The sequence below is a fragment of the Homo sapiens genome, chromosome 12, assembly GCF_000001405.40.
Source record: "Homo sapiens chromosome 12, GRCh38.p14 Primary Assembly".
NCBI classification, from domain to species: domain Eukaryota; kingdom Metazoa; phylum Chordata; class Mammalia; order Primates; family Hominidae; genus Homo; species Homo sapiens.
In genome coordinates, this window is record NC_000012.12 from 15,836,843 (window position 1) to 15,861,872 (window position 25,030).

Genomic DNA, 25,030 nt, shown 5'->3' on the forward strand with positions numbered 1-25,030 from the left:
ATAACTGAGACTGGGTAATTTATAAAGAAAATAGGTTTAATTGGCTCATGGTTGTGCAGAATGTGTAGGAAGCATGATGCTGGCATCTGCTCAGCTTCTGGGGAGGCCTCAGGAAACTTACAATCATGACAGAAGAGGGAGCAGGCACATCACATGGCCAGGGCAGGAGCCGGGTTAAGGGAGGTGCCACACACTTTTAAATAACCAGATTTTGCAAGAACTCGCTCACTATTGAGAGGAAAGTAGCAAGGGGATGGCACTAAATCATTCATGAAAATTCAATCCCCATGATCCAATCACCTCCCACCAGGCCCCACCTCCATAAGATCTGTGGGGGGACACATATCCAAACTTTATCACTGTGCAAGTCCATAATTTCAACGTGTAAATGCACTGCACTAGGCAACGCAGGTGATGTGAACAAGGGTGAATCACAGGCTTTGGCCTCCAGAAGTTTACAAACTAGCAAGAGAAATGAGCACTTTCAAAGCCCAACATAAGCATTATGAAAGAAGTACAAACTGAGGACTGCAATGTCTGGGACTCTCTCACAGGCACTAACTCTTTTAGCAGGAAACTTTCATCTAGAGCTGGACATGCACTTCAACATTCAAAATTCTCCAGCATGCTTTGCTCCTTGTTTATACCCGGATCATCCTTGGTTTCTTCCCGACTGGTCTCAGTGCCCTAATTATATCCAAAATTGTGGTCACAATTCTTGGATCCTGACCTGCTTTCCCATTTGCTCCACAGTTGTGGCTTTCACATACTGGAAGAGGTCCATGAATCTTTCCAACTTCTTAGACTCCTACTCACTGCTCGGAGACTTTGGCATCCTGGCTGTCTTTTATGCTCCCATACTGCCTCAAGTTGCTTCTAAGTCTGTGCATGTTAAAAGGAAATAAAAAATCATATTTCAGGAAATACTTTAAGAAACAGTTAGCATTTGATTTAAATATGCTGCCAGCAGTCATGCAAGTAACATTGGAAGAAAACAAAATTAAAGCAGAGGAACTAATATGAGCAGACAGCAGAGAAAACCTCAGGACATATGCCCCTAAAGGTGGATAGAGTAGTTTGGTGTGCTTGGGCTTTTTTGGCTCCCCCAAGCTTTACCCACATCATCCTCACATTCAAGGACTAAACCTGTTTTTACGGAAAAGGAATAATATTGTGCCAGAAAAGGGAATGGAAATGGGAGAAGAAAATAAATGCACAGTAAAATAAAGCAGGAAAGAGCTTGAGAGGGTGACAGAATTGCACAAAGGCAATGTGGGCATGTTGGTGATGATCTATACCATGACTCCCCGTTCATCAGCCTGAGGCTAGGGGTTATGAGAAACAGAGGAGCAGGACAGTAGATGCTCTACAGAGTTTCCAGATGAGTATCCACCAGATGAAAGCTATTCTCCTAGCCACTCTGAGTTCTTTTCTCCTCCCAGGCATATCACAGGGATTTAGGAACTCCCCATGTTTGTTCATGGACACTGCAGCAGTCTCTGCTGCGAGCCTATGGACTGAAGCAATGCTGTTCCTTACGACAAATGCCTCATCTCCTCACTGCCATGGCATTGCCCTGAAGCTGTTGCTGCTGCCAACTTTGCCTCTTCTCCCAATCTCTCTTCCTACTGAGGCTGCTGCTGTCACCCCAGCTACATACACGATGTTGTGCTCTGAGACGTGTGATGTATGGTCTTTTGCTACAGACTGGGTGTGTGTTAAGGAGATGAGCAGAGAGGGCAAAAGAACATTAAAGAATTGAAGAAGCAAAAATGAAATGGTTCTTGGATAAGGCAGAATTTGCCCTGAGCTTTGAAAAATGGTGGTGGTAGGAGTAGACAGATTTTGAAACACAGAGAAAGTAAAGGAGAATTTCCTGCGACTGAATAAAACTGTCAACTATGGAGTTAACAAAGCGTGTCTGGGAGTCAGTAGAACCCATTTAGCAGGTGATGAGAATTCACGTAAGGGACTAATGACATCATGTTTTGTCTTGGAGCTAAATTTTTTTTTTTAGTTTTATGGCAGAAAGAGAGAATTAACATAAACAATAGCCTTTTAATGAAGCTGGGATGCTTTCTCTATTCTTCCCTGTTAAAGGGAGTTGAGAACTGTCTTCAACATGAATTGAGAAATTTCTTCTTCACACAGAGAAAGACAGTTTTAGCTAGAGTAGGCAGAGTGAAGACATGTATCACAGTTGTTCAAGATCCTCCAGGCAGAGCTAATGCATTTGCTTTGGGAGCCAGCAGGGTGTTCTTTAGTAGGGACAGAACCAGTCCATAAAGAGCCTTTATGTGAATGAGAAAAAAGATGCTCCTTTATTCAAACAGATACAGGCTCAAGCAGGCATATAGATTGGCAAGACAAGTGTGAGCTGAATTTAAACCTACTTGCCACTAGTCATGTGCCCTTGAGTAATGTGTAAACTTCACGAAAAAAATAAGGAAGCCCTCGGGTTTAAGACATCTAGCCATACTTAAAGTGAATATGAGAGGCCCCATCCCACTCTCCCAGCTGACATGAGAACAGATAGAGGTTTCAAATGGGCTATTTTCTGGTGCAATGAGATATAAGCCTAGATTTCCTATCCCTATGTCTATTTTTCCTCTGTTACTTTGAGATTACATTACTTGTAGCCTTGAGTGTTTAAAAGAGAAGATCAAACCCATTTATTTAATGTCACAATCAATATTGAGCCCAGGGCATCTACAGAATAGATTCTCTGTAGGCAGTGTTCACTATGGCTTTGAGGAGTTCAGGGAGAATTTATGAGCACAATTCTTTTTTCAGTTAGAAAGAAAGCACATTCAAGATATACTAAAATAGTTGAATAGAACTGTAGTGACTTACTGTATGTACATAAGATGAGCTTGTATTTACTAGCCAAAGAATTTATAGCTGAGAGAAGTAGATTTCAGCTTATGAGAATTTCTATCTTTCAACTCAGTCCAATAGTTCATTGTAGAAAACTGGTTTGTAAGAGAGTCTGAGAAATGATAAGGTCATAAATGATTGAATTATGACATTCAATTACTAGCATTCTCAACTGATAATATTGCCTTGTATGATGTAATGCAATTTGTAAACAGCCAGTTAAGATACATTGTCCCATTACATATAGTGAAATATAATTTTGAAGATATGTTATTACAATAGAATGTAGTTATGTATAAACCATGCTTTCTACTGGTAGACTTATTGTGGGACTCAAAAGAAAGTGTAGACCAAAAAGTACTTTTTCAGCATACCTAATTGCAAGATAAGATGAAGCATTTTATACTTTTTGATATGTTGTAATTAGATGGAAAATCAATATCCTCTTTTGTTGTCTCTAATACTCATTTGCAGTTACATGTAAGGCTAGCTGCAATTTTTTGAGATAAAATAGTTTTTAAAATTCTTGGTAGGATTTTTTTTTTTTTAAACAAACTAGAAAACTGGATCCTATGTTAACACCTTGCACTGTGACACTGATCACACTTCAGATGTTGGCATTTTGTTTTCCTTGTTTCATGTGGATATTTTAATCCCCATTATCCTAAAATCTACTGGACAAAATGAGAGCAGTGGTAACCTCATAATGATTAAGTCAAGTAAATGCCTTACAACTCTCTCCCTAACACAAATCATTCATTTGCCCTCCTCACTGTCTTGTGAAAGGTTGGGATAGTCCTAAAAACAAATTTGTGTTAAAAATATTTCCATTTTTGAATGTTTCTTTCTTTTTTTCTTTTTTTTCTGACAGAGTCTGTCACCCACGCTGGAGTGCAGTGGTGTGATCTTGGCTCACGGAAACCTCTGCCTCCTGGGCTCAAGTGATCCTCCCACCTCAGTAGTTGGGACTACAGGTGTGCGCTATCATGCCTGGCTAATTTTTGTATTTTTTGTAAAGACAGGATTTTGCCGTATTTCCCAGGCTGGTCTCAAACTCCTGGACTCAAGTGATCCTCCTGCCTCAACCTCCCAAAGTGCTGGGATTATAGGGATGCGCACCACACCCAGCCTCTTTCATTTTTTCCTACATCTCTGAATCCTACCTAATCCAAACTTATCTGAAGCCTCTCTAGCAAGCTTTCCCCAACCTGTCCTCCCTCTTTGGAGTTCCCAGTTCCCATGTCACTTATATCCTTATAGTCATTTAATTTTGATGCAATCCTATGCCATCTTAGATTATGTCTGTTAATATGTATGAGCCTTGTTTCCCTAGCAACACTGTAAGCCCCAGCATAGGAAATGAAGCTTATCTCCTTTTTGTTTCTGTATAGAGCTTGGTGTAGAGCTGAGCACAAAATTGGTGCTACTCAATTCAGTAAATTTAAGTCTTTGAGAACACAGCCTCACCAACACTTTGATTGCAGACTTGTGAGACTGTGATACGCAAAATTCTAAGATAGTTCCCAAGATTCCCCACCCCAGCATACACACCTCTTCTCCCAGTTATTCCATCAAACACTAATTTAGGTGCTACCATGAAGGAACTTCGTAGATGCAATTAAATTCTCAAATGAGTTGAGCTTAAAATAGAGAGACTGTCCTGTGCTGGCCTAATCTAATCAGGTGAGCCTTTGAAAGGGACTGGGACCTTCCTGGAGAGATTTGATGTGTGAGCAGTATTCAATACATAGGAGATTCTCCATCGCTCGCTTTAAGATTGAGGGGGTCTTGTGGCAAAGAATGCAGAAAGCCTTTGTGAGCTGAGAACTCCCCCTTGCTAACAGCCAGCAAAGAAACTCAGGCCTCATCTCTATAACCATAGGAAGTAGATTTTGCCTGGAAAAGGACTCTTAGGTCCATAAGATACCTTGATTTTGGCTATGTGAGACCCTGAACAGAGAATCCAGTCACACTGTGCCCAGAATTTTGACCTATAGAATAGTGCACTAATAAGTGGATGGTGTTCTCTAAGTTGCTAAATTCATAATAATTTGCTTAATTTGTTACACAGCAATAGAAAACATATATACTTCTCATTTGTGATGTAAGTTGAGTCCATTTCAATTAAATCATGAAAATATTCAGTACAATGCCTGGAATATAGAAGATACTAAATATTTGTAGGACTTTTTTTCCCACAGGACTTCTGAAATACAGAATTTCTTCTTCCGTCATTGTCAAAGTGATCTGATAACATTTGCAAGAAAAAGTGTGCACCATCCAGAACAAGTTAAACACAAAATACTATGCAGTAATCTATTGAAATACAGCACTGTCAAACCATCCCTTGGACATCTGTGATAATCCAGGGATCAAAACAAAGAAAGTCACTAAACTTTATCTGCATGTCTTAGAATTGGAATAAAAAGAGTTCAAGCTTTTAATCCTGGTTCTTAAAAGGCAGAAATGTAATATTTAATCTTTTAAATTAGTTGGCAATATTGCTATTTCTCCAACTTCCCAGTCTTTTACTCACTAAAGGCCAAAGATACTGAGATCATGGGAAAGGGTTCAACAAATTGTCTCATGACTGACTCATAGACTTGGCAGCTGTAAATCTCTTTGTCATGTATAGAAGATGATCTCTGTGTTGAGAATTCAAATGTTTAAATTCTGGCCTATGTATCATAGATAATTCGAGCACTGGTCGCAAGGTTTTGGGATACATTTCAATGTAAGCGTGTGCTGTCTGAAATTTAGAAATTCTCCTGTAGCTTAAAGCTTCTCACTTTCTGCTTTAAGAGAAGTTTTGAGCTGGGCACAGTGGCCTACAACTGTAATCCCAGCACTTTGGGAGGCCAAGGTGGGAGGATGTCTTGAGGCCAGGAGTTCAAGACTAGCCTGGGCAACAGATCAAGACTCCACATCTACAAAAAAAATTTTTTTTTAATTAGGTAAGTGTGGTGGTTCAGGACTGTAGTCCCAGCTACTCAGGAGACTGAGGTGGGAGGACTGCTTGAGCCCAGGAATTTGAGGCTACAGTGAGCTAAGAAGGTACTACTGCATTCCTGCCTGGGTGACAAAGTGAGACCCTGTCTGTTAAAAAACAAAACAAAAAACAAAGTTATGCATCAAACTGCTACTAGTTGAGATCTGTTTGTACGATGCCAGAGATGGTTTTATATCATTTGTAAAAATAAATAGTCCCACTCACAGACACCATTTTAGTTCCTTGGCTTTTAAAATTTATAAGTGATCTTGACCATTTCAAGATCCCAAGTATTATGAATGAAACAGATGCATATAAACTTACTCTTTGATAGTGAAGAAAGATTCAGTGTACTACGGGCTGATTTCAGCAGGGTTACGACCGACTTTTGGGCATTACAGAAAAGTGCCTTGTAAAGGAAATGTTTCTTTTTCATTAGAAACACATTTGCATAATGAAAAAAGGTACTTTTTCAAGTTTGTGATAGTAAGACGCAGGGTAGGATAGGATGTCTCAGAATTTTTACTCATGAAAAAACTTTACTTATGGCCCCACGGAGATAAACGTATCCCTTACAAGATAATTTTTTTAAGACAGTGAGCTGTTTAATGTTGGTTGTGAGCTTATCATAACTGAGATTTAAATTTTTTAGCAAGTATGTTTGCTTTTGAATGGAGGAACAGTTCAATATTCAGTCAAGCAAGAATGTGTTGTACTAAAAAAAAAAAAAAAAAAAACTTTTAGGCCTGGCACGGTGGCTCACTCCTGTAATCCCAGCACTTTGGAAGGCAGGCGGGTGGATCACCTGAGGTTAGGAGTTTGAGACCAGCCTGGCCAACATGGTGAAACCCCATCTCTACTAAAAATACAAAAAATTAGCCAGGTGCGGTGGCGGGTGCCTGTAGTCCCAGCTATTCGGGAGGCTGAGGTAGGAGAATCTCTTGAACCTGGGAGCCGGAGGTTGCAGTGAGCCAAGATCGCACCACTGCACTCCAGCCTGGGCGACAGAGCGAGACTCCATCTCAAAAAGCAAACAAACAAACAAATAATAATAAAAAAAACCCTACAGAACACAAAGCTGATCCAATGTGGTGTTGAAGTTATTCCTCAAACATTCCATATTTAAATTTATGACTGATAAACATAGCTAAATGCAACAAAGGCATTGCTGCAACATCATATACAAGCTAATGTATTTATTTGTATCTTTATGGTCTTGTGTCAGGTACTAATATTCAACAAATACTTGCTTCATGCATAAATATGACATTAAAATTTGTTTGCCTTTGCTTTATACTTCTGGTTCTTAATGAAATATTATTTTCCTGTATGTACTTCGGCTATCTGTACAATAATTCAGCCACATTTAGTTTGTATTGTGGCTTGGTATTTAAACTACTCACTGAAATACTGTAGTGGCATTTGCTTTACTGTATTATACGATCTCCAATTACTGGTGAATTTGCTGGGTAGCTTCCTGCTATATATCAGTGTTCAGTGACGACAAAACATTTCTTTTGAAATTTGTAATTTCCATTTTTCAGGGTTAAAGGTTAAAAGGTTTGCATGTTCCGAACATATGCCTTCCTGCTACATTACAGTATTCAGTATTTACATGGGCCAAATACTACATTTTTCCTCACACTACCAATTTCAATACATGTTGGATAATATGCACTCTTCCCCATTCTCATACACGAATTTCATTATAAACTGGAGGTATAACTTATATACCAGCAAATGTCAGCTAATAGGGTATTTCTGGTTAGGGGGTTTGGTGAAAGATCTCAAAGTAACGTTTGAGCTGGACTGTGGTTGATGGTCTGGAAGTAACAGAGATAGAACTAACTGAGAAAATAAAAGCAGGTCTCTGAGGAAATCTCTCAAAGGTAGGAAAGTTCAGAGCATAATTGTGTTCCTGCTGTAACTCAGAAGACTAAAATCAGTGTGTGTAAAAGGAATTTTAGGAGGTAAAATTAAAAAGCTCGACTGGAGCCAGGTCATGGAGGTCCCTGAATGACAAGCTATGGATACAGAAGTGTATTTTGTAAGAAATTGGGAGCCATCGAAGGTTTCTTTGATTTTTTGTAGAACAGAAATAATACAATCACACTGCCCTTCAAAAAGGATTAATCTGGCAACAGTACTTTAAGTGAATTAGAGAGGAGAGAGCTGGCAGGTGGGGACACCTGTAGAGAGGCCAATAGTGCAGACAATGTGCCATAAAGGTAGTGAGAGTCTAAACTAGAGCAGGTGCATTGAAAACCCATAGAAGGGGCAGAAGGAAAAGACGGGGTAGAGATTGAATCAAAAGAATCCACTAGTTATTTGGATCTGGGAAAAAAAATGGAGAGAAGAGGTAAAAAATTCCCTTGGTATTTGAGATAATGGTGGTATGAGTTAGGACTGAACTACTATGCTCATTTTGGAATGCACAGAATTACTGAACTTGAGGGGTCAAAAGATCATTCAGATTGAGCTCTCCAGTAGGTGGTTGAACCAGCTTAGAAGCAGAAATCAGAAAGGAGGCCAAGTTTGGAGATGCTGACTTGGTGGTTGTGGAAGCCATGAGCCTATGCCCAACACAACCGTAACAGTGGGAAAGTACGTTAACTGAGGGCCCAGGGATTGAACTTCAAACCCACCTTACCATTTGACCTGAGAATGTGCACCCCACAGGTAGCTTCTTGCTGATGACTAGTTTTTGTGGAAATAGTAAGGCAGATCAGTTCCTAAGAAGACAAAGAATTCCTTTGTGAGCTCCAGAACTCAACAATGGCTTTGCTGAACCTCCTGGTGACTGTGCTGCAGTGTAGACAGCTGCCACTCAATCTTCCACTATCCAATCTTTTCTTCTCTCCTTTGCCTAGGATCAGACTTGCATCCTGGTCTAATCTGTCTTCCAGCCTTCTCTGGCTCCCTCCTTGTTTTTTATTAACACAGCCATTTCACTTTACACCAGCATTAAAATACTTGACCGTTTAATGCTGTCTTGACATCTGCTTATGAGAGCACCCAGATTAACATTAGTTATTTGAAGAGAAGTGATCTATATTCCATATGCCATTTTGTGCAATTAGAATTAATGTTCAATATAAAGTTTAAATCATTAAAGCAATTTTAAATTATTAAATTTAATCATAAAGTATAAAATTATGTAACATAGGTTATACCTTTAAGTGAGGATGTTCTGCACTTATTTTATTATTATTTTTTTTTAGATGCAGTCTTGCTCTGTTGCCCAGGCTGGAGTGCAGTGGCACAATCTCGGCTCATGAAACCTCCACCTCCCGGGTTCAAGTGATTTCCTTGCCTTAGCCTCCTGAGTAGCTGGGACTATAGGCGCACACCACCATGCCCGGCTAATTTTTGTATTTTTAGTAGAGACGGGGTTTCACTATGTTGGCCAGGCCGGTCTCGAACTCCTGATCTTGTGATCTGCCCACCTCGGCCTCCCAAAGTGCTGGGATTACAGGAGTGAGCCACCATGCCTGACCTGTACTTATATTTTAGAAGATTATTTTAGATGGAAAAGGTAAAAATAACTATAAGAAATTCTAGTGGGCAGTTATATTTAACCTGCAGTAAATATCCCAGAATTATGAAACACAGAGTTGGAGTCACAGATAAGAGTGACCTTTGAGGCAATGGAAAACCCTAGGTAACAAAATATATCTTTCATTTTCCACCTACTCAGAAAGATGTGGTCCCATTTATGTTGTTCTTCAGCACCCTTCAGCTAGTTCTTAAAACCTTTGTGCCACATAATTGCTTGTAATACTAAAAATATATTCTGATAATATATGAATTTCATAAATAAGACAAATATGTAAAACAACAACAAAACCTACAATTCAGCTGACTACCCACTGTAGCATAGTACAGCAAGTTTTGCAAACACTGAAGGTTTTTTGTTGGTAGGCAGCAAATAATCTAAGGTTTCTCTTACACCCTTGTTTCAAAAGAAAATTTATGCTCTCTAAAAATGTATGACTTCAAATCAATCAAAACAAAATGGCTTAATCAATACAATAATTAGGCTATCATCTGAATCATTCAAGCAATTATGGCTTTCAGGTATACTGATGTGAGTATTCTAAAAGCCAATGTCAGATGAGAATTGACACTTTGGTTGCTGGAGCTATGATAGGGTATCTCAGATGTTAGAATTTAACTGGAAGGAAAATATTGTATGGATAAGCCTTTAACAACTTTTGTTTTTTCACATTCTCGCATTCTTAGGAGTTGTTTATTTTCTCTTTGGCATCAGGCTTTGGTTTGGAAATCTAGTATGTTGTTAATTCTGCCTCCATTGGATGCCTTTAGACTCAGGAGACTAACAAACTATGTTAGCAGGAACATCTGTTGATCTCTTAAAAGTTAGCCAATGATTTGGAGTTTCTTTGGCCAGACAAGTCATGGGATCAGAGCCCAGTTCTGAGCTAAACTTAAGGCCAACAAGATTAGTTCTGACATCTAGAAAAAAGAATTGAACACATGGGAAAATTTAAGACTTAGAAAAATTAATATTCTCTGATTTTTTTCACAGTTAAAGTGAACGGAAAAATAGGAGTAAGGCTAGATAGAAAGGTTGTAAAACTTATATATGCACAATTAAAATAAAGGGTTGAATTATTATGTGGAAAGTTTGGATCATATAAAGCTATGCTATATAAAAAAGAACAACTCTTTGGCCTGGTACTACTCAAGCTTGATGGTTCACTAGCTATAGAATTACAAAATTCTAGTAATATCAGATAAACATATTTGATATTGAAATGCTAAAATTAACTGTTTCTAGAAAAATGCATTTCTCACTAACTCAGACTACTTTTGGATATCATTGATTATCTCTTTGTAATATCTCAGGTTTTAATTCTTTCAAGGCTTTCCTTACTCTTTGAGCTACTTGAACAAAAATCTACCATGTCTTCAAAGATCTTTCATCAGGTAATCTTCCACAGGCTTTTCAATTCTCTGCAAATCTTTATCCTTTGTGCTACTATATTGATCCTTGGTGGTAACTATAGTACCTATGGCTTCATTGCTATCTATCTACATGGATTTCTTGCACACATCGATCCTTCTGTTCCTATCCTGTTCTCTGCTATTCTGACTCCTACATCTTTAGCCCCACCTCCAACCATCTTACTTAGATAGTTCTTAATTGTCTTTGAGCTATAATATATTCCTAAGTCTAATTATATTCTCCTCCATATCACTGCTGTGCCATGATGCATAAAATGTATTTCTCAACTATACTTGTAGACTTTGAAATGGCAGGTATATATACTACTTTTTAAAATATCCCTCACACATAAAATCAATTTGATTTTACCTTCATTCTACTAACATACAGTATTATCTATACAACATCCCAATTTTCAATTATCATTTCTTATAAAAATAAAATATGCTCAGCTCTGACAGATGCCTCATCCTTAAAATACTCTCTTCCTCATAACAAGAATCTCTGAGGGGAAAAAAAATAAAAAAGAAATACTTTATTTCCTTGGATTCTTAGGTACCACAAACTCTGCTGATTCTGCTTACTTCACAGTTTCTTTTATGCCAACTTCGCTGACTTCATCTTCTCTATACAGCCCTCAAAAACCAGGGTTCCTGGGGAGCTTTTTTTCTGGGCCTTTTCTCCATATATCTCTTTTACTTTAGGTGATTTCTATTGTCCTGTAGCTGTCAGGAGTGGTTTCAGGTGGAAGTTTTAGAATATAGCTAAAAATTATCTTTAACACTTTAACATTGTCAAAATACTGGGATTGCAATAATATTACCTGCATAGGAAATACTTAATTTCTTAATATTCCCTGGTTGGCACATTCAGGGATTTAAAGGAAAGTTATTTTCCAAAGTCATGTTCTGATGCAATTATCAGGTCACTGTATTAGTTATCTATTGCCTTATAATAAACTATGCCATAACGCAGGGACTTGAAACAACAACAGTCATTTACTTTACTCAAAAATCTGCAATCTGGGCTAAGCTGGGTAGCTCATCTTCATGTGGCCTCAACTGGGTTGGCTTGACTGGAAGCTGGAGGGTCCACTTTCAATACAGCTCACTCATGTCCTTGGCAAGTTGATGCTGTCAGCTGTCAGCTCAACTGTGACAGTAATGAGGAGACTCAGTTCCTCTTCACATGGGTCTTTCTATGGACTTTTTGGGCTACTTCACATCATAGTCACTGTTTGCATAGTGAATGCCCCATGAAAACAAATGGATATGCATGCCATTTTTATGAACTTACCTTATTTGAAGCTGCCACAATGGCCCAGGAAGGGGACACAGACTTCACCTCTTGGATAGTGGCAAGGTTATAGAGGAACATATAGATAGGAGATACCATTGCGATTGCCTTTTAAAAAAAACTCAAAGTCTGCTACAGTGACTAAAGACCAAGTCACTATCTGTAGGTTAATTCTGGATCAGTCACATAATCCAACTAATCTGTATGTCTCTCCGATTCTTTTTTTTTTTTTTTGAGATGGAGTCTCGCTCTGTTGCCTATGCTGGAGTGTAGTGGCATGATCTCAGCTCACTGCAACCTCCATCTCCTGGGTTCAAGCAATTCTCCTGACTCAGCCTCCCAAGTAGCTGGGACTACAGGTGCGTGCCACCACACCCAGCTATTTTTTTTGTATTTTTTTAGTAGAGATGGGGTTTCACTATGTTAGCCAGGGTGGTCTCGATCTCCTGACCTCATGATCCATCCAGCTCGGCCTCCCACAGTGCTGGGATTACAAGCGTGAGCCACCGTGCCAGGCCTTGTCTCTCCAATTCTAATCAGTGCAACTTTTTGCCTATATCTGCCCAGATGTTTAAGGATAGTAGGAAATTTCTTTAATTTCCTATACCATAATATCAAATCTAATGTATGTATGTACATGTGTGTATACATGTATGGTATGTATATGTGTGGGGGAGTATATATATATTCCCAAAACAGTATCTAGGTTAACTGTCAAGTGAGAGTCAAATCTATACCCCTGTTTGTCAGTCAGCATATCATCTTTCCCCCTGCCCAGGTTTTGAAAAAGGAAGGAAGGAAACAAACAAAAAACTTCCCAACATAGCTTCAAAGAATAAATCTTACATAAGTGAGGTAGTCAAATAGATAATCTATTCAGTTTATGTTCTTTCTGCTGAAATGGCCAATTTTTAGAAGTGGTCACCAATTTCCAAGCATGCAAATTGTGTTCCTCAGTTTATTTCTGTGAAAATGTAAATTTTAAAAGATTCAAAAGAATTACAGTCAGCACCTAAGGAAATTTAAATCAGTGACCCTCAAAATTAACACTTAATGTCTCACTTTTTAAGATTTGATATTGTTTTAATTTTAACTCAGCCTCCCTGCCTAAAATAGCAGAGTGTAACTTTTAGGATCATCTGTCATCTACTACAGATAGAAAATAACAAATCAACATGTCAACATTCTCATATTTCCAGGGTCATAAAAATACTGCTGTTTCATAAAAGACAAAAGAAAGCAAAGGGAATGTTATTTATTTCCAAATAAAAATTATACAAACTATAATATTGTTTTCCCAAAAAAGCATTTTCCTGAGTCCAAAACTCTCACATTAGCTTTCCAGGAAGAGCCCCAATTCTACCCAGTAGCACCCTGCCCAGGCTATGGATCCTTTGTGGACTCTATGGATATATGGACTTGCTGTAACTTACTTAGCTTGATGGTCTACAGAAAGAATTTAAAAAGTGATTCACTTTCCCTTTTTGTCTAAACATATGCATTTACTTTATGGTATCAATTTTAGATTAAATAAATAAAATACAATTCTCTTAAACAGTAAACCAAGTAATATACTTTATTCTAAAAACTTGCCGGGTGCAGTGGCTCACGTCTGTAATCCTAGTACTTTGGGAGGCCGAGGAGGGCAGGTCACCTGAGGTCAGGAGTTCAAGATCAGCCTGGCCAACATGGTGAAACCACCTCTCTTCTAAAATTACAAAAATTAGCCAGGCGTGGTGGTGCAAGCCTGTAATCCCAGCTACCAGGTAGGCTGAGGCAGGAGAATCGCTGGAACCCAGGAGGTGGAGGCTGCAGTGAGCTGAGATTGTGCCACTGCACTCCAGCCTGGACGAAAGATTGAGACTTCATCTCAAACAAACAAATAAACAAACAAACAAAAAACTTATGCATTCTCAAGTCTGGTGCACTATAAGATTTCCCTCATGGTTTCAAATGTTTTTGTTATGTGCACATATTTTGGGGATGATGCTACGAATAAGACTAAACAGGCCAGGCACGGTGGCTCACGCCTGTAATCCTAGCAATTTGGGAGGCTGAGGCAGGGGGATCACTTGAGGTCAGGAGTTTGAGACCAGCCTGGCCAACATGGTGAAACCCCTCTCTACTAAAAATACAAACTTGGCCAGGCATGGTAGCTGGTCCCTGTGATCCCAGCTACTTGGGAGCTGAGGCATGAGAATCGTTTGAACTCGGGAGGAGGAGGTTGCAGTGAGCTGAGATCATGTCACTGCACTACAGCCTGGGTGACACAGCCAGACTCTTGTCTCAAAAAAGAAAGAGTAAACAATGATGAGAGCTGTCTAGTTGATATATAACACAGAAAGAATGAGTTGAAAAGAGAAAAACACAGCTAATAAGCAGATTATCTTAAGGTCTGCAGTATCTCTGTAAGAAGGAATTCCATACTTAGATGAACTGGGCTCAAATCCCAGGTCATCTATGTGCCTTTTAGGGTTGGCCAAATTAAGTGAGAGAATTCCTTTAAATCCCATTAGCACAGTAGCTGATGATAGAGAGGGCTCAATAGTCATTATTCTTATTGCCAAGCCCATCTCCCAAATCTCTTCATATACTTTAAAGAGAACTATCTTTCTCTTTCCGTCCTACTTCCAATACTTTGTTTATACCTCTCCTATAGCACTTCTGTGAATTTTGGTTACTAATACATATGCGTGTCTTCTTCACTGGAGATTGTTTTCAGATGGCAGGGACCATGTCTTCTTCGCTCTGTATTTTTCTCACACTACTCTCTTCCCAATACCCAAAACCCAACACCAGGTTTACACACACTAGACTTTAAATAAATGCTTATTAAGTTAAAATGACAGATTCCTTCTCATCTTTCAAGGCTCAAGTCAAATGTCACCTCTCTGCTAATTCAGTCTAAAGAAGCCTCTCCACTCTCCCCTCTCCCCTCCCACAAAAGGAACTCTATCACATCATCTTGTTTTATGTTTTTCACAGTCGTTACTGCTTTTGGAAATTATCGAATTAACATATGTACTTGTTTATTGTTTGTTCCTTCTGACAGACTGTAAGTGTCCTGTTGGATGTGAGCCATTGCTCACCATGGAATCTTTAGCCCCAGGATAGTAAGTATCAATTTAAATACCCAGGGAGTATTTCTTAAATGAATCATATCTCCTAGGACCTAGGTATGACAAAGGCAGTAGAAGAGATGTGTTCCAGGGCCCTTTGTTTAAAGAACTCGTAAAGTTGGTGATGACTTTTGAAGCTCTAGAAGGTGATTGATATTCAGGAACAACTGTGAATGAGGTGTTAGTCTTGCCTCCTTTCCTTTACCTTTGCTGTCCCCAGCTACCCATGCCCACAGAGAGCATGGCCTGCCAACTTAAACCCAAATCAATTTCCAAACCAATCATGGCATGAGGAAGGAAAGCCTTAAGCAGCTGCTGGAGCTGTGACTGAAACCGAGTTAGTGAGGCCTCATCATATCTGGATGGTTAGACAAGGTTTGCCTACAGGGAGGGTCTGTCAAATCATATTCCCTAGGCAACAGTCCTCTCTTACTCTACGTAGTGAAAGACTCTGACTCACTAGAAGACGGCAAGGACATTGCACCATTTGAATGATGCAAACAAACATTTGAATTACATTTATGTAATGTAATACATGGGGATGGCCTTTTACTTGCCTCATTCTCAAATATGTCTCAGGGTCTGGGGAACAACATGATGCCTTGAACAGATCCAAAATATCTGATAGGGGTGGGGTGCGGTGGCTCACGCCTGTAATCCTAGTACTTTGGGAGGCTGAGGAGGGAGAATTGCTTCAGTCCAGGAGTTCAAGACCAGCCTGGGCAACATGGTGAAACCCTGTCTCTACAAAACTGCAAAAATTAGCTGGGCCTGGTGGTGCATGCCTACAACCCCAGCTATTCAGGAGGCTGAGATGGGAGGATCACTTGAGCCCGGGATGGGTAGGCTGCAGGGAACTGAGATCAGGCCACTGCACTCCAGCCTGGGTGACACAGTGAGACCCTATCTCAAAAAAAGAAAAAAATAATAACCTGGTGGAGCCCTTGGTAGAGATAGTATTGAAGCCTGATAATCATTATAGAACAAGGGTTTCTTGTTCTTCATCTGATTGACAGTTATGGCAGTCCCCCAGTGACATGGAGTGTGGCATATATTAGGCTTTATACAGGAAATAAATCCTTTTTGGCAGAAATCTATGACTTCAGTGTCAAAGCAATTACATAGGCTATGTCATAGTGTAAAAGTATCAACTCAATTTTTCATTAAAACTAATGTTCCTTGGACCAAAAATCTTGACTCTCTTTCAGCCAACATCAAACCCATCAGCATCTTTTGTCAGCTTTTCTCTCAAAACATACCTAGAATCTGACCACCTCTTAACACCTCCACTGCTACCACCCTGGTCTGGATTTCTATCCTCTCTCCTCAGGAATATTAATATCCTCCTAATCTGGGTTCCTATGTTAAAGTCAGATCACCTCACTCTTTTGTTCAAAATTCTCTAGTTGGCTTCTCATGTTGTTACCAGAAAGGGGTCCCAATCCAGACCCGCAGAGAGAGTTCTTGGATCTCTAGCAAGAAAGAATTCAGGGCGAGTCCATAAAGTGAAAGCAAATCTATTAAGAAAGTAAGGGAATAAAAAATGTCTACTCCATAGGAAGAACATCCCCGAGGGCTGCTGGTTGCCCATTTTTATGGTCATTTCTTGATTATATGCTAAACAAGGGGTGGATTATTCATGAGTTTTCTGCGAAAGGGGAGGGCAATTCCCAGATCCCACAACTGAGGGTTCCTCTCCTTTTTAGACCATATAGGGTAACTTCCTGATGTTGCCATGGCATTTGTAAACTGTCATGGTGCTGGTAGGAGAGGCTTTTAGTATGCTAATGCATTATAATTAGTGTATAATGAGAAATGATGGGGACCAGAGGTCACTTTGTCGCCATCTTGATTTTGGTGGGTTTTAGCTGGCTTCTTTTCTCCAAACTGTTTTTATCAGCAAGGTCCTTATGACCTGTATCTTGTGCTGACCTCTTATTGCATCCTGTGACTAAGAATGCCTTAACCTCCTGGGAATGCAGCCCAGTAGGTCTCAGCCCTATTTTACCTAGCCCCTATTCAAGATGGAGTAGCTCTGGTGAGAGTGCCTCTGACAATCTCACTTTAAGTAAAAGCCAAAGTCCTTACAACACCCACGAAGACCTATATGATCTAGTCCCCTTTGCCTTTCTCATTTCGTCTCCTACCAGTCTCCAGGTCGATTATGGCACTCAAACCTTGCTGGACTCTTTGCTCTTATCTTCCCCTGAAATGTTCTTCATGCAAATATCCACATGGCTTCCTTCTTTATTTCCTTCAGGACTTTGCTAAAATGTGACATTATCAACGGTACTTCCTATAGCCTGTTATTTTTCTCTGCAGCTTTCATCACCGTGTGCCACACCATATATATTATTTGATTATTTATTTACTGTCTGTCTGCCTTCTCTAAAATGTAAACTCCATGGAAGTGGAAATTTTTTTGTATGTTTTGTTCACTGCTTTATCTGCAGTCTCTAAAACATTACCTGAATACAGTAGCACTCAATAAATAATTTTTCAGTACAGTATAATTGCATATTTCTCTGATTCGTTCACTAGACTCCAAGTAAATACTGCGTCTTATTCCTCTGTGTCAGTGTTCCACAAATGTTCTTTTAATGAATTAATATGAAATGTTCTGAAAAGAAATCTGTAGTTTCATTTGTTACTTTGAAATTCATGTTATTCTCACACCAAGTAGCAATTAATGGCAGAGATGGTATTATTTTGATGTTTGTTAGTTTGCTTGAATAGATTAGGAAAATAATTAAAAAGAAAACCATTTGAATATTGACTTCCAATCTTATTTTCAAATTAAAATTGTGCTCTAAAACCTACAAAAAGACTGAAGCAGACATTGAATTGTCCAGATATCGAACCCATGTTTCTTAGCTTGATACAAACACTTAGGCTTCTTGTTCTTGTATTTAATTCTATTTTATCCATTTCTATATACAGAGGATAAAGAGAAACATTCATCCTCATAGAATGGCATAGCATACAGAAGTGATGAGGGCTGTGCTCTAAGAGGATTAAGCACACAAAGAAGATAATTAACTTGCTGAGGTCTCACAGAAATGTGTGGAATAGCAAGAATAGCATTCAGAGTTTCTGTTATCTTAAGGAAGATCAATCAGTCAAATAGCTGCATGTTCATGATACAGAGTTTATTTGTAGCCCTAGGTATTAACTAACATAAGTTAAGAAAAATGTTTAACCCTAAACAAACATACACAAAAAATGTGAATAAAATTGGTTTGTTTTAAAATATAGGTTGACATCTAGTTTAAAGACCAAACCAGTGAATTTTCTGTTACTACCTTTAAAATCACTCACAATTGTAACAGAACTCCAAATATTAAAGTTTCACAATGGAAAATGATGGGAATGCAGAGGTACTGATGTTTTTAGACACAAATCCTTATAATCAATTTTATAGCCACTTATCAGACACTTTTGCTGGGTTGGGAAATTATGAATGATTTCAACTTTTCTTCCTTGAGCTTTTAGAGTACTGCAAAAAATTTAAAAAGATAATGTATTTTGTAATCAGAAAAAAATTATGAAAAATTACTACATGCTTATATAGTCTTCTCTAATGTGTAGTAATCACTCTTGAATGTAATGTTCAGGCCTAAAATTTAGACATTAGAAATGCACCTCACGTGTTCAAAAGCAAAAGCCTTGGCTGATCCAGCAGAAAAACAGCTCTGAGTTTACCAAATTTACCAATTCCCTGAGTACTGTTTATTATAAATTGGAAATGTAATGCCAGGCAGATGTGTCATCACCCAACAAAAGTGAAACTTAAAGAAGAATCATGTTTGACAAGCAATCAGACTTTGGAAAGAAAGGAATAGAGAAAAAGAAAACTCTGGAGAGAATTTGAGATTTCTTTGATGCCTCTAATACCCTAAATAAAAACAGTGGTGCAAAATGGCCATTTAAGAAAAATATTGCTGGAAGAGCCATTATCCTCTAAACTCTTAGGAATATTCATTAATATTCCTGAATACATTATTGCAGGCAAGATTTTAGAATCATTTAGAATATGTGCCACCAGGACATTCCCCACAGGAATATCCCTCTCCTACCAGGCTCTGAGCTTGGGAAGCTTGGTTCAATTTGACTCCCTTCCCCCACTACGAATGCCAATTCTTAGGTCTCTGCCAATGTGGAGTTAGTTGGCATACATGGAAGGAGGATGGCAGTTTGCTTTTCCTTCAACAACACCAGTTAGACTGAATAATTCCTGTGGGATAGAATTGCTTGAGATGATACTACATGAGGTGTTTATAAGAAAATTGATTTTTAAATAATTAAAACTCATAATTTTCTTAATGTGTATTAAAATATGCTCTAAATATAAATATTTTAATTTGCTAGTTGAAAATTAAAAATATTTATGTAAATTATGCACAATCCCTGAAAGGGTGCTTCAGCAAGTTGTAAATGGAACAATACATGGGAAGAGATTGCCATCTGGTGGCTGAAGGAAAAGTGCATTTTTGTGTAGGACAGGTATAAAAAACTTGTTTAAGCAAATAAATGTTAGTATGTTAGTATTCCCTGCTAACTTTTTTTTTTTTTTTTGTATCTTAGAGGCAGGATTTCGTTCTGTCACCCATGCTGGAATACAGTGGAGCGAGCACATCTCACTGCAGCCTCGACTTCCCAGGCCAAGTTGTCTTTCTTTCCACCTCGGCCTCCCATCTCAGCCTCCCAACTAGCTAGGACTACAGGTGAGTGCCACAACGCCCGGCTATTTTTTTTTTAATTTCTATGGAGACTGGATCTCACTGTTGCCTGGGCTGATATCGAACTCCTGGCCTGAGGCCATCCTCCTGCCTAAGCCCACTATCCTATTTTATTAACCAAACACTTCTATCTTAATTCAAGTATCAAATAAGATATAGAGGTACATGTGGTGGTTTTTTAAATATGTAAATGATTTTTCTCAATGTTACATATTCTTTCTCTTTAGAAGTGTAATATATAACATTGTGGAAAATATACATTTTTATATATCATGTATTTCTAAACTACAGAAAAGTATAGAGAAGGAAACAAAATCTATAACTCCACCACCTAGAGACAATCAAAATGAACATTTTTTTTTTGAGATGGAGTCTCGCTGTGTCACCCAAGCTGGAGTGCAGTGGCACGATCTTGACTCACTGCAACCTCCGCCTCCCGGGTTCAAGTGATTCTCCTGCTTCAGCCTCCCAAGTAGCTTGGACTACAGGTGTGCACCACCACGCCCAGCTAATTTTTGTATTTTTAGTAGAGACAGGTTTTTACCGTGTTAGCCAGTTAGTCGATCTCTTGACCTTGGCCTCCCAAAGTGCTGGGATTACAGGCATGAGCCACCGTGCCCGGCCCCACAATGAACATTTTAATAAATTTCCTGCAACTTTTTTTCTATGTATTCACATTCTTTTCATATAATTGATATCATAAGAAGTATTTAGTTTTGAACAGTGCTTTAAAAACATTACCAGTACATTATGTTTTTTTTTTAAACTATGTTTCAAGTTTGCTGTCATTTGAGAGAGGTTCTTTTCCTGGGAGAGAATAAAATATGCATATGCATGAATAGGTGACAGTATCCTTTGTTCAGGAAATTGCAAGTAGCTCAATGCTGTTGGAAAATGAAGTTGGAAACTTCCAGTTCAGTGAGAGTGGCTGGGAGGAGAATTAACAGGCGTTGGAGAGGTATGTGGAACACTGACCAAGAAGAACCACGGGCTTGTCATTTATCTACATTGTATGTTTATATGGATAATTATTGAGGAATTCTGGGTAATGAACCAAGGTTACTGGATTTGCACACCACAAAAAAATAATAAAATGATTTGACACTAATGGGGAGGATAGACTAAAATAATAGCTGTCAAAGCTGGCTGCACTTTAGAACTGCCCAAGGAGCTTTAAAAGTGCTAATCCCTAGACCTCAGTCCAAACAAATTAAATCAGGGTCCTTGGAAATGAGATACTTTAAAAGTTTCTCAGATGATACTATTATGCTGCTAGGGTTGAGATTCACTAAAGGGAGATGAAACTAGAGACAGAAATACCATTTAGAAGGGTGTTGCTTTAGACTATGTGAAAAATGATGTGTGCTTAAATTGGGTTAGTGACTGAACGTGTACAAGTTAAGTGGCAGAACTGACACAAGTTGCTAATTAATTGAGCACAAGGTATGAAAAAATAAAAGATTCAAGGATTATTCTCTAATAGTGCCTTGGTAAATGGCGGCGTTGACAGGAAAGAGAGCTGATTAGCTAAGTGTTTGGGAGGCAAGGAACGTGTGTTCATTAAGAAGCTACCATTTTCCTTTAGATGCATCATCAATGGCACAAACACTTTTAGACATATTTTCTGTTGCCCTGTTTTAAATCCTTGTGCCAGATATTGTCTGTTAGCTCCACCCTACTCTCTTTGTGATGGTGTGGTGAGAACTCTACCAAACTTCATTTTTGCTTCCCCAGGCTGTTCTGTGGTAGGGTCTTCCAGCAGGGGGCTCGAGAGGAGGACTGCAAAGCTGGAGAGGAAGGAGGGACAGCTTTTTCCTGTTTGCTGCTTTATGGCTTCCCATCTGCTTGTGGTTCTATTAAAAACTATTCCTGCTGCAGTTTTTGTTGTTGTTGTTGTTGTTGTTTGTTTGTTGTGTTTTTTGGTCGTTTTTTTTTTTTTTAACTCCTGTAGCATTTTTTTCTGTAGCAGCAGCAGAATCCAGGTTGCACTTTTTCACCACTTGCAGAACCAGCCTCAGGACCACCACCAGCCACTTCAACCGCCACCACTGACACCAGTATCAACTAGCTGGTGTCTGCTCCTGGGAGGCTGGGGTTTCAGGACCACAGTGCCCTTTTCTGTTTCAAGTTTTTCTCCTTGCTCTCTTTGATCCCTCAGGCTTGAGTGTGATACTTGCTTCCTGAAGTTGCTTTTTCCATGATTTGTTAGAGTTCTCTTTTTACCATTTCATAGTTAACACCTTCATAGCTATATAACTATTGTTTATATTAAGCTGTTTCTATTCAAATAACTGGTATATTTTCTGTCTCCTGATTAGACCCTGGAGGGCCACTATGAATAAAACGTGCCCTCTCAGCACTAATTTGGCCTGGCAGCCTTTCTAAGGACCACCACTCCATGTTTCCAGACTAAATAAACATTGAACTATAGTGGCAATTTAAGCAGTTATTTTTATAGAAAAGTTAAGTAAGCATTCCCAGTGATTGCAAAATACAAGAACCCAGGAGTTGTGACGACTTTATCTCATTCTTTTTCTTATACCACACAAGAGAGAGAAGAAGCACGGAAAGTCCTCGGATTTAGGCTTTCATATAGTTGTCCCTTGTTTCTGAACTCTATCTGTTCAAATCCTGACCTTCCTCCTGCAGACCCTATGCAATCCTCCACCATCTAGGGTCCCCACGTATTTTCTTCAGTTTTCCTTGGTCTGCATATTGCCAGAGAAACACAGGAGTTTGGCAAGGGAATACTGTGGGTTCTGGTGTTGTAAGTGGGGTAAAGGTAGTGAGGGCTCTGATTCCAGATTGGTCTCTTAATCAGTGAAGGCTGCTGCCATTTTCTACCTGATTTATCTAAGGAAAAGGGCAACTCACCATCATGAGTCTTAATTTTCTTTCCAAGACAACACAATCTAGCATCATATGAGGGGGTTATAATTTTCCTATTAATGTGGCTTTGACCCCATTCCTTAGAAAATAATAATGCTGGAATTCCTGAAAACGAATCTTCTGGCTTTTTCCTGAACATGTCCATATGACTGGAACCATCAGTTTAGTTTGAAATTACTCTGTGTGAATCATTTGAGAAAATGTTGCCAGCCTCAAATGGATTAATTCTGATAATGTACTATTTCCTCTCAGAAAAGTGTGGGTGATCGTGGTGGAAGATGGAGTTAGCCTACCAAACTATATCTCCATCCACAAAACCATGACAACTGACTTTTGTCTAAAACGTTCAGGTAGAAGCAATACCTAAAGTATCCATGGTAGATCTCTGTGTTCTCTTCACTTGGCATATAACTTGGGATCTCCCACCCCATATGCTGCTAATTTCACACCAAAATAATAATTTGATATTCATTCCTCTAGTTAAAGTTCTAGGGATATAGCCAAAACAAAGGGCAATAGAAGAGGGAGGAAAATAAAAAGAATACACTTATACTGTTCTTGCACAAATAACAGACTAACTCAATAGAACTCTCACCATTTAAAGGTAAGTAATAGAAACATAAATGTAAGAGACATAAAGAACTACTGAAAAAAAACAGTGAAATGTTTATGCAAAAATATTCCTACACTCAAAAAAAAGGGGAAATTATGAGACAAAAAAATTTAAATGTTTTTTAAATTAAATTAAAATTGTAAAAAAAATTATGTGAATACACCTGGAGATGCAATAGTAGCTGACAGAGTTAAGTAGAGAAACCAGAGTTTAAAAAAATTATTCTATGTGAAAACTACATTTGAAGCACTGAGAGACAACTGACTCAAAACAGAGTCAACAGAATGGAAAAAGCAGATGGAGTGCAGTGGAAAAGGTGTAACTTAAAAAGAGAAAAGCAGGTGAAAATAGGTAACTGTGGTAACTGTGCCTGAGCCTTTCAAACTTACTCTCCTTATCTTCCTGAGCACACAGATGCACAGCTAAACTATATTTTCTAGCCCTTTTTGTGTCTACATGTATGGCCATGTATTTACGTATTTAGAAATTGTTCTGCTGAAATTTTTCTCTTTGTGCATTGTCAACAATGAAATGTGAGCAGAAGTGAAGTGTGCAAGGTAGTTCCCTGGACAAGACTTGTTCAGATTTGCATTGCAGTCCTGGTCTCATTCTACCCAGTCCTCCATCTTTCCCTCTCTCCTCTCACAAATGTCAGACCAGTATTGTGGCCTTAAGTTCTCCCTGCTTAATCCTGCCCACCCTTCCTCCTCATCATTCACAGGTCTTTTGCCCATTGCATCTGTTTCTTGTGTTTCTAATTCCTTCTTGGTGTTTGTTTCTCAGAAGACTCAACAGACACATCCAGTGAGTTTTTAATTCAGCTATTGTATTTTTTCAGTTTTATAATTTCCATTTGGTTCCTTTTAATAATTTCTGTTGCATTGCTGAAGATTTTGTTTTTGTTCATTCATGAGCATATTTTATGTTTATAAGCAGAGCTGTAATAACTATTTTAAGTAGTCTTGTCTGCTAATTCCAGTATCTGGGTTGTCTCTGGGTAGTTCTGTATTGATTTTCTCTTCAGGATTCTTCATATTTTTCAGTTGCTTCACATGGACGGTAATTTTGGATTTTATACTGGAACTTGTAAATCATATAGTTAGAGATTCTGGAGTCTCTAAATTCTTTGAAATTCTTTTACTTATTAATATTTTGTTAAAGCAAGAAACTCTCAACTCTCATTTCAACAGTGGGCAGCAGCACAAATCCATAAAGTCATTTAACCTTGGCTGGGTTGTGTAGTCTGAACAATGCATTTGTAGGTCAGGAGTCACCCACATGGTGTTGGCAGACTTTGTACACAGTATTTAGAGTGTTTTGTCTCTGTGAATCTCGGTTCCAAGATGTGTCTCCTCATTTCCTAGTTGCTGTGGTTTTCCTGAATGATGACCTCTGGGTCTTTAAGCTGGTAAAATGTAGATTTTCTATCTGAGTTTTTGCCATGCTACCAGGCAGTGAGTGTGGTCTACCTTTAGGCCAGGAGTCATAAAAGTGGGAAAATCGCCCAATGCCCTTTCCTTCTTCCAGTGTACATTCTCC

At 38.8% G+C, this 25,030-nt stretch overlaps 1 long non-coding RNA gene across 5 annotated transcripts in view; it reads right to left on the minus strand.

Annotated features, from left to right (window-relative positions):
* The window catches only part of LOC102724146 (uncharacterized), a 65,230-nt gene that overhangs the window by 19,774 nt on the left and 20,426 nt on the right, over positions 1–25,030 (minus strand). For 3 of the 5 annotated variants that reach the window (XR_002957404.2, XR_007063230.1, XR_007063229.1), the window contains exons 3-4: positions 8,517–8,598; positions 731–882 (exon numbers count right to left, since the gene is read on the minus strand). This is a non-coding gene — a long non-coding RNA (uncharacterized LOC102724146). Of the gene's footprint in view, positions 1–15; positions 883–8,516; positions 8,599–25,030 lie in introns of those variants that run through there. The other 2 variants (XR_007063227.1, XR_007063228.1) reach the window with 2 other exon arrangements.